Raw genomic sequence first — 11,161 nt, forward strand, 5'->3', positions numbered from 1 at the left:
TTTGGTTTTATGGTGCCCCTACTTGCAGGTGGTTGTGTAAATGGAAGGGCACGCCAGGTTTTTCAGTTCTCCAGGTGGTTACACATTAGGTCTGTTCTTGTGAACATTTTAAATTGACAGGTAAATTGCATTAAGGAAAATTCAGAGCCTGAAGGTCGACCTGCACCTATAAAGTTCCCAAGTTCTCCATCACTCTGTTTTCTTTTCTGCCTGTTTTAAGTCTGCTGTGACTTCTCTACTGAGATAAAAATCCACTGTTTGCATCCAACCATTTATTTTGCTATAGTTTTTGCAAACCAATGAGTTTGTATTAATATCTTATGGCTAGGGTTCTGAAGTAAAAGCTATAGGATCTTTGCATGAGTTTATATGTGTGGGTTTATGTATATGTACACATATTTTGTAACATGTTTTTGGCCACTAGGTACAAAATTTGGCTTAAAGAATACTCAAAAACTAAATAATCCCAAATGCTTTTCAAGTTCATGTGAATTAGGTAAAATCTTTAATAAGCTAGCTTTAAAGTTATTTGTAAAGGAATATTACAAATGTGTTAAGAAATGTCTGCACACATTTTTGTTTGCATTTATTGATCAAGAGATGTCATACTTATTATTGTCAAATACTATAAGTCGTCAAAATTTGACATAAGGGTTATTAAACTATAAACTCAGCCCAAAACAGAATTATCTTCGCTTGTATTTTTTATAAATAAGACATTAATATTGGTTTAATGAAAACAGCCCAGTCTTTAATTATTTAGTAAAATAACCATATGTTGACTCTTAAGTTTCTTATGTAAACACTTGAAATTCACAGGCTATAAAATGGCTGACAGGCAAATAACTTTAAATGATCACTATCTCAGTTTTCATAAATTAGGTAAACTAGTAAAATAAAACAATTAGGAAAAGGTAATGGGATAAATACTTGTAGAAAAATTTGTCATAATTTAGAACCTAAAGTTAAATTAAATAATGGATTTTTTAAATGGGTATTTTCCAATTAAAAAATATATATAATAGAAAAGCATTTTTTCCTACAAAAAACTGTGTTGATGCTAAAAGGTGAATAATTTTTGTCTAATTCAAAGCTCATTTAAAGGTTATGTATAAAACAAGGTAAAAGGAACCAGGAATTAAGAAATAAGAAAGACGTAAAGAAAGTTATAGAAATATGGAGGGCATTTTTGGTAAAGAAAGCTTAAAGAAAAATAATTTTATGAGAAAGAAACTTGTACGGTAAAATTTTGCCCTAGAATAAAATGATTGTCTAAGAAAGAGGGATGTTCAGGGCAAACCATGTACCAAGCATGTCATGTGTGGTCTGTGAGAGACATAATAAGAGGATTTATATTAAAAAAAAAACCAAAAAACTTCTCTATGATCTAGTTGTCTATAATTAAAGGAAAATTATTTATTATGGTCTTTCTAGAGATTGGGTTTTGATATGTAAAGAAAACCCACTTATATGCTAAATAATTGCTTAGAACAATAAGACTTTTTAAGGAATTGTTTTACTCTTAATAAAATTACAAAACATAATATATATTACGCAAAGTTCAATGTTTATTGCGTCTCATTCTCAGCTCCTTTAAGTTTTCTTTTTTTTTTCTTTCTTTCCTCGGGTTCTGTTTGTTGTGGCCTGATGATAAAAATGTTTTATGTTAAAGGTCTACAGGAAGTGTTTTCTTCCAACAAAATATTCTGTGCTCCTGGCTTCAAATTGTTCTACAAATCCAAAAATTTTCACGTATGACCCAGAAAACACCTCCTATGTCTAATTCAAGTACCGCTTTCAGTAGATCTGACTTGCAGGTTATCTAAATGTACTCCGCATAGGGAACAGCAGTCACACTGCGGAAGCTCTTTTCTTTTGCCTTTTGGTAACTGGCCTAACAAATTTTGTTTTATCACAATAATTCCTATGTCATTATTATTCAGTGCTGGTTTGCTTAGAAGACGACTGCGATTTTTTTGTAATTAAATGTATTGCATCTGTGTAACTTTTTGTATGTGCTTTTAAAGTCTTTATGCCATTCAGTTACAGTGCTTTGACTCCTGGGTCTAAAAAGAACCCCAAGTCACACAGCATTTGCTATTTCCTTGATAAGCAGTATCATATTGTGGCTAAAGAAAGGATTTTAGCATCAGAAAGACCTGAATTTAAATTCTAAACTCACTACTTTCCAATTATGAGGCCTCAGGCAAGGTATTTAATCTCTCTATAACTCAGCTCCCTCATCTTAAAAAGTGTCAGCTAAATCTTAAAAAGTGACAGCAGTTAAAGCCTTGTCTTCAGACCCAGTAGAAGATGCCAATCAAAATAGTGCATTCGTGAGACACAGAGCCAGAAATTAAAACTATGCAACTCAAGGCCCAAGGACTATCGTGGAAGAGGTTGTAATGGCGGATTTTGAGAGATAAACTAAGTTCAGCTTCTTTAGAAATTAATCGTTAATGTCAGAGGCACACTGTGCAAGACTAGCATATAGGATTCTGTGTCAGATTAACTAGGTTTTCCTGCGGCATTAACCTACTTTTAAATAAATGGTTATAAAGGTTATAAAAAAGCTTATGTAAATTATATCTTATAGTCAAGATTAACATTTTACAATTTTTTTATAATATTTGAGAGACAGATCTAATCGGCCTTGTGCTGTCTTTATTAAGGCTTATTGTTTGGAAAATTAAGTCTCTTCTCTCAAAAATAAAGGTTTCTGCCTATTTTGAAATATTTGAGTTATCACTTTGAGTAAATGAATGACTTATTTTACAATAACCTATGGTCCTATTTTGTGATATCAAGTGTTTTAAACTTTTTATTTTCGACAAATTTTCAAAATCAAATTCTAACTTCCGTCCTCCTCATTAATTTTTTATACTGTCTCCTGAAGTTCAAAAGAGACATATTCGGCTCTCATTTCTGTATAATAAAATCATACAGAAAGTATTGTCTAATATGAAAAACTGCTTAACCTTCTTTGGATTATATTTACAAAGATGCATCATACAGGTACAGGGAGGTGTTTAGTTACCAATCAGATTAAATGCAGATAGACTCCCTTCGCATATATAATAATCAATCTCTCAAAGGACAAGTGAAAAAAAAAAAAAGTAGATCCTAAAAGCAGCAAGAAAAAAAGGAAAAAATATATAATGGAACTCCAATACACTCAGCAGCAACATCTCATTGAAAATCTTACAGGATGGAAGAAAGGGGGGTGACATATTCAAAGTGATGAAGGAAAAAAGATTTTCAATGAAGAATAGCATACTCAGTAAATCTATTCTTCAGATATAAAGAAGAGAGAAATAATTTATTAGGCAAACAAAAGCTGAGTGAATTTATCAACACCAGAACTCTTTTAAAAGAAATACTAAAGGGAGAGATCTTCAATCTGAAAGAAAATGTGTAATAAGAAAACATCTGAAGGTATAAAATTCACTGATAAAAGCAAGTATGCAGACAAATTCACAATATTGTAATAGTCTGAATACATTGTGGGTTACAAAGCATTCATATTTTTAGCATGAAGACTACAAGACAAAACTATTTAAATAATAACTACAATAATTTTCATGAAGTAAGCAGTATAAAATATGCAAAATGAGAAATAAAATCAATATGGAAAAGGAATGATGTTGAAGTGTAGAGGTTTTTTTCTTACTTTTTATTCGTTTGTTTCTTTTATTTGTGATCAAAGCTAAATTGTCTGGAGTGCAAAATAACCTGCTAAAATTGTAACTTTTTTTAAGACTCATGGAAACCACAAAGCAAAAACCTATAACGATACTCTAAAAACAAAAAAAGGAATTAAAATGTATTATCAAGAAAATCACAACCACAAGCAGACCTTATAAAAGAAAAAAAGGAAGAAAAGGGTTACAAAACAACTAGAAAACACATAATAAAATGGTAGTACTAAGTCCTGACCCATCAATAATAACCTCGAATGTAAATGGCCTAAATGCTCCAATAAAAATGCAGAGTGGTTGGATGGATAAAAAATATCAGGACCCAACTACGTGCTGCATACAAGAAACTTACTATACTTAAAAGATATGTATAGAATGAAAATGAAAGGAAGCAAAAATAGTATTGCATGCAAATAGAAACGTAAAGAGCAAGAGTAGTTATATTTAAATAGAATAGGCTATAAGTCAAAAACGGTAAAAAACAAACAAGACAGAAGGCCATTATATAATGATAAATGGGTCAATACAGCAACTGTAAATATATGTGCACCCAACACCAGAATACCTAAATATATAAAACAAATATTAATAGAGCTAAAGGGAGAGATTCTCTTCAATACAACAATAGTAGGAGATTTCAGCATTCCACTTTTGCAACAGACAGATCATCCAGACAGAAAATCTGTAAAGAAACATCAGAGTTAAACTACATTCTAGACCACATAGACCAATCAGACATTTACAAAACAGTCCATCCAAAAGCTAAAGAATACACATTTTTTTCAGCAACACCTGGAACATTCTTCAGGATAAGTAATATGTTAGGCCACAAAACAAGTCTTAAAAAATTTTTAGAAATCAAAATTATACCAAGTAACATCTCAGACCACAATGAAATAAAACAGGAAATAAATAACAGGAAGAACTTTGGAAACTGGACAAGTACATGGAAGTTAAACCACATGTTTCTGAATAATGAATGAATCAATAAAATAATTAAACATGAAATTTAAAAATTCCTTCAGATAAATGAAAATGGAGGCATAATTTACCAAAACCTGTTGGATATAGCAAAAGTAGTTCTAAAATCAAGTTTTTAGCAATAAACACCTACATCAGAAAAGTAGAAATATCTCAAGTGGCGTAAAAGAGATACACCTCAATGAGATAAAAATATGAAAACAATCTAAACCAAAAATAAGTAGAAGGAAATAAATAATAAAGATCTAAGCAGAAATAAACCCGAGCACAAACATGAAAGATCAATGAAACAAAAAGCTGTGTATTTTTTTAAAAAATTAAATAGACAAACCTTTAACTAGATTAATTAAAGAAAAGCAGAAAAGACAAAAATTGAGGTGAAAGTAGAGACATTACAATGGACAACACAGAAATACAAAGGATTATAATTATAAGACATAATTATGAACAACTATACCAAAAAAAAAAACTGGAAACCATAAAGGAAACAAATAAATTCCTGAACACATACACCTTATCAAAATTGCATGATGAAGAGATAGAAAACTTGAACACACCAATAACAAGCAATGAGAGAAAAGCAGTAATAAGAAATCTCCCATCAAAGAAAAGCCCAGTATATGATGGTTTCACCAGCTTCTAACAAACATTTAAAAACAAATGCCAGCTGGGCTTGGTGGCTCACTCCTGTAATCCCAGCACTTTGGGAGGCCGACGCGGGCGGATCACGAGGTCAGGAGATCGAGACCATCCTAGCTAACACGGTGAAACCCCGTCTCTACTAAAAATAAAAAAAAAATAAAAAAATAAATTAGCCGGGCGTGGTGGCAGGCACCTGTAGTCCCAGCTACTCAGGAGGCTGAGGCAGGAGAATGACGTGAACCAGGGAGGTGGAGCTTGCAGTGAGCCCATATCGCGCCACTGCACTCCAGCCTGGGCAACAGAGCGAGACTCCATCTCAAAAAAATAAATAAATAAAATAAAGAAACAAATAAATAAATGCCAACGCTACTCAAACTATTCACAGAAATTGAAGAGGAGGAAATACTTTGCGACTCATTTTATGAGGCCAGCATTACTCTGATACCAAAGCTATACAAGAACACAAAAAAGAGAAAAGTACGGGCCATTCTCTCTGAGAAGCATAGATGCAAAAATCCTCAAGAAAACACCAGCAAAGTGAATCAAACAACAAATTAAAAAGCTCATTCACCATGATCAAGTGGGATTCATCTCAGGGAGGCAAGGATGGTTCAATATATTGAAATTAATATAGTGATGCAATAAATTAACAGAATCAAAGATAAAAACCATATGATAATTTTGGGAGATATTGAGAAAATCCAATAAAATTAACACCCATTTATGATAAAAACACAACAAATTAGGTACAGAAATAACATATCACAACACAATAAAGGCCATATATGATAAACCACAACTAATATCATATTGAATGTGGAAAGTTGAAAGCTTTTATTCTAACATCTGAAACATGACAAGGATGCACACTTTCAGTACTTATATTCAACACAGTGCTGAAAATTAGGCAATCAAAACAAATAAACATTGGAAAGAGCCAAATTATCTGCTTTCAGACAACATGATCACACATATAGAAAACCCTAAACACAAAAGAAATAAAAAAGATATTCCTTGTTCATGAACTGTAAGATTTAATGTAGTTAAAATATTCATATTATCCAAAGTGATCTAATGATTCAATGTAATTCCTGTCAAAATACCAATGACATTTTTCAAAGAAATAGAAAAATAATCTTAAAATGGATATAGAAATGCCAAAGCCCTTGATAGTCAAAGCAATCTTAACTAAAAAGAACAAAGCTGGAGGCACCACACTACCTGACTTAAAAATATAATACATAGCTACAGCAATCAAAACAGACACATAGATTAACAGAATAGAGAACCCATATGTAAATGCGTACATTCATAGTTAGCTGATTTCTGACAACAGTACCAGGAACATACCTGAAGAAGAATAAAACTAGGCCTCTATCTGTCATTATATACAAAAAATCAACTCTAATTGGATTAAGGACTTAAATGTAGGACCCAAAACTATTAAATTACTAGAAGAAAACATAGGAAAAAAATGCTACATGAAAGTTGATTCAGCAAGGGTGTTTTGGATTAGACCTCAAAAGCACATGCAACAAAAGCAAAAACAAACAAGTGGGGTTAAATCAAACTAAACAACCTCTGCACAGCAAAGGAAATAATAATCAGTAGAGTGAAGAGACAATCCAGAGAATGGGAGAAACTATTTGCAAACTCTGCATCTGACAGGAAGTTAATATCCAAAATATGTAAAGAACTCAAACCATGCAATAGCAAAAACACAAACAACCAATTTAAAAATGGGCAAATGGGCTTGGTGCGGTGGCTCCAGACTACAATCCCAGCACCTTGGAAAGCTCAGGCTAGAGAGTCGCTTGAGCCTAGGAGTTCAAGACCAGTCTGGGCAAGATGGTGAGACTCTCATCTCTACAAAAAATTTTTTTAAATTATCCAGGTGCAGCCGGGCATGGTGGCTCACGTCTGTAATCCCAGCATTTTGGGAGGCTGAGGCAGGGGGAATACATGAGGTCAGGAGTTCAAGACCAGCCTGGTCAACAAGGTGAAACCCTGTCTTTACTAAAAATACAAAAATTAGCCAGTTGCGTTGGAGCATGCCTGTAATCCAACTACTTGAGAGGCTGGGGCACGAGAATCACTTGAGCCCAGGAGCGGCTGTGGTGAGCCGAGATTGTGCCATTGCACTCCAGCCTGAGTGACAGAACGAGACTCTGTCTCAAAAAAAAAAAGAAAAAGAAGAATAGGGAGAGGGAGAGGAAGAAGAAGAAGAAGAGGAAGAGGAAGAGGAAGAGGAAGAGGAAGGAAGGGAAAGGAAGGGAAGTAAAGGGAAAGGAAGGGAAGGAGAGGGGAGAGGGATGGGGAGGGGAGGAGGAGGGGGAGGGGACGGGGAGGGGGAGGGGGAGGGTGGGGGGAGGAGGGGGAGGAGGAGGAGGAGTCGGAGAAGGGGAAAATTATCTAGGCACAGTGGAGTGTGCCTGTAGTCACAGCTTCTCGGGAGGCTGAGGTGGAAGAATCCCTTGAGTCTAGGAGTTCAAGACAGCAAGGATGATTGCACCACTGCACTCTAGCCTGGGCAATAAAGTGAGAACCGCATCTCCCCATCTCAAAACAATTATATATTAAAATTTATTTGTTTATTTATTTAAAAATTTATTTAAAATAAATAAATTTTTATTTATTATAAATGACTTATTTATAAATTATTTATATTATATGTATGTCATTTATTATAATATTTATTTATTAAAAATAAATAAATTAGTATGTTGAAGAGATATCTGCACTTCCATGTTTATTGGCGCACTATTCGCATTAACGAAGATGTGGAATCCAACTAAGTGCCCACCTATGGATGAATGAGTAAAGAAATGTGACACATGCACACCGTGAAATACTACTCACCCATAAAGCAGAACGAAATCCTGTCATTTGCAGCAACATGAATGAACCTGGAGGACAATATATTAGGTGAAATAAGCCAGGGACAAAAAGACAAACACTACACGACGTTACTTATATGTGGAATCAAAAACATTGATCTCACAGAGCAGAATAGTGATTATTAAGGATGGGAGGAGACCATGGGGAGATGTTTTTGAAGAGGTACAAAATTACAATTAGATATGAAGAATAATTTCTCCTGTTGTATTGCACAGTAGAGTGACTATAGCAGGTAATAATGTATCCTAAAAAACAACAAGAAAAGAGGAATGTTTGAATGTTATCACCACAGAGAAATGTTAAATGTTTAAAATTATGAATATGCTACTTACCCAGAATCGACAATTATAGAATGTATAGATGCATTGAACCATCATACTGTACACAAAAATATGTACAATTTTATGTGTTAATTATGAAAAATTTAGAGACAGCTATGACAGTTTAATTAAGTAAAACAGATTCCCAAACTAAACACTTGCATTAGTACCAAACCTGTAATATATCATGTGTCTAACTAAAAAATGAAAATAGTGTGAAGAAACCAATTATACCAATATATTAAAATTGATTTGCAAAAATATTTTACAAAAATATGATATTGAATACTAAATAATTTAAAAATACTCCACAATAAACATACATTTTCATAGATAATGAGATTGTAAAAAATTGAAGAGACAGTATAATGTAAAAATAATATATGAGAATTTCTTTTAGATTTACTGTAGAAGATACCAACATTATGTTCATTGAAATAGTAAGCTACACACTAGGGTATATATTGCAGCTGTATACAATTATAAATAATTTCCTACAGAAGTAATGAAAATCAGCCAAATAGCTTAAGTCCTAATGTGACATGGCTCTGAATTATGATAAGCCCTACAATGCAACCTATAATTTATTTTTTAAAAGGATTATCTTATTGTCGAATTTTGTTTAGGGCTTACAATAAGAAATTTTGAATTGAGAAAATCTGGTGAAAGATTATTGATTAATTTTTAAAAGATAATATATCTGTATATTTAATATATATGCTATTATAAATGTGTAACATTTTAAAATGTAATATTTTAATATTTACATATAATATATATTTGTATATATGTCATATAATGATGCATTTTACTTTATTAAAGGAAGTTATGTATATTTCAATAAAGGCAATGCTCACTGACCATAATTCAATCAAATTAAATATAACTATCATTATATAATAATAAATAGATATAATAATAATTATATAATAATTACATGTAATAAATTATATGTCATACTTATATATTCTGTTATTGTTATATAATATAATTAAATACAATTAATAGTAGAAATGGGGTTTTGCCATGTTGGCCAGGCTGGTCTGAAACTCCTGACCTCAGGTGATCCAACCACCTTGGCCTCCCACAGTACTGGAATTACAGGTATGAGCCACCGTACCCAGCCCAAATCATTTCTTCTTACTCATAGTCAATTTTCTTTATTATGACACACTTGCTGCATCAATACCAATATCATTACATGTCTGTTTAATTATCAGTCGCTGCTCTTCACAAACATACAGGATTTAGGGTGTTTATATTCAGCTTCATTTTTTATGGTTTTATTGAAAACTTTAATATGTAGAGAAATAAAAGAACATGACTTTAGGAGATAAAACTGCTGACTAATAGTCATTTAAGTAAGTTTAAAGAAAGAAGACCGAAAGAAAATAACAGGTAACAGATATTTTGAATACTACTTTTAATTATGATGTTGCTGTGGTTTTGTAAAAATTTCTCTTTCAAACACATCATATTTTAGCAAAAAATTGGAATTATTAAAATTATCAGGAAAAAGCTTGATGTGGGTTTTTGAGTTACAGGATACTACTTTTTTATTATGTATTTTTCTACTCCTCTTATTCTTAGTAACTAATATAAAGTTTAGCAATTTCAACTTTATTCATCAACTCCTTAAGTCCTCCCAAGCTTTGTTTAAAATTAATTTGTTAAAGAATATGGGGTACAATGTTAAATTATAGTGTTGTAATGCTCTAATAAATTAGCAATTTTCCTGACACTTTGAGCCCTTTATATGAAAGCCCTTGATTTCTGCTAAGTGTCATTAATTAGCATTTTAATGTAATTAAACTATTGTAAAATACTTTACATATTTTAGTGGAATATAAGTCATATTAAAATTTGTTCTTTAGAGAGCATTTGCAAAATTTAAATATATGCAAAGATTTGTAAGTGCCTTTGCAGCATATTGTAGTACTTTTGCATTAATTAATTGGGAAGATAATAGTTCCTACTAATTATTCCCATGTAGTAACGGGTGAAAATTACAAAAATAATGCTTATGTACAGAATAAAGGACAATTTATCTTGTATGCTTCTAGGAAAACAAAACAAGCAACAAAGAGTAAACAATAAATGATCTCACAGGTTTTTTTTTTTTCAGTACCTCCTAGTCATGTATTAACAAAGATGAACACTGTTTAATTTGCTTGATAAAATCTAGTTTCCTTATGGATGAAAAACAAATCCTTGGAGTTGCTTTGCATATTGTATGGTCACTTAAAAGTCTCCCAGAAACAACTCAAGGTACTCCTAGGAAGTCCTCAGTGTTTTGAAATGCAGTGTGAAAATGTACTTGAGATGTACCAGGCACCAGTGAGTTTAAATGAGTAAACTTAAGAAGGAAAACTGTAGACATGATTTGTTTGTGTGTGTGCATGCAAACAGTAAGTTATAAATTATCTAGAAATTTGTATACGAAATATAGTATAATCGGTTATCACAAAGGCAATGCACACAAAAAATGTAGAGTTGAACACACACAGACATATATATGTGCATACACACAACAATTAGGCTTCACAAGGAGAAAAAAATAAAGGGTAATTAGGTGACCAAGATTCTGGTTCAGATTTGTCATTAGCTAATCTTTGACAATTT

The 11,161-nt window shown here is 32.3% G+C and overlaps 1 annotated feature.

Moving 5' to 3' along the window:
- Positions 10,647-10,847: a silencer, noted in NCBI's record as "peak594 fragment used in MPRA reporter construct". NCBI's record gives its function as "represses an SCP1 promoter by STARR-seq MPRAs in K562 erythroleukemia cells {active_cell/tissue: K562}" and the evidence as "EXISTENCE:reporter gene assay evidence [ECO:0000049][PMID:32103011]".

The sequence above is a fragment of the Homo sapiens genome, chromosome 1 (genome assembly GCF_000001405.40).
Source record: "Homo sapiens chromosome 1, GRCh38.p14 Primary Assembly".
NCBI classification, from domain to species: domain Eukaryota; kingdom Metazoa; phylum Chordata; class Mammalia; order Primates; family Hominidae; genus Homo; species Homo sapiens.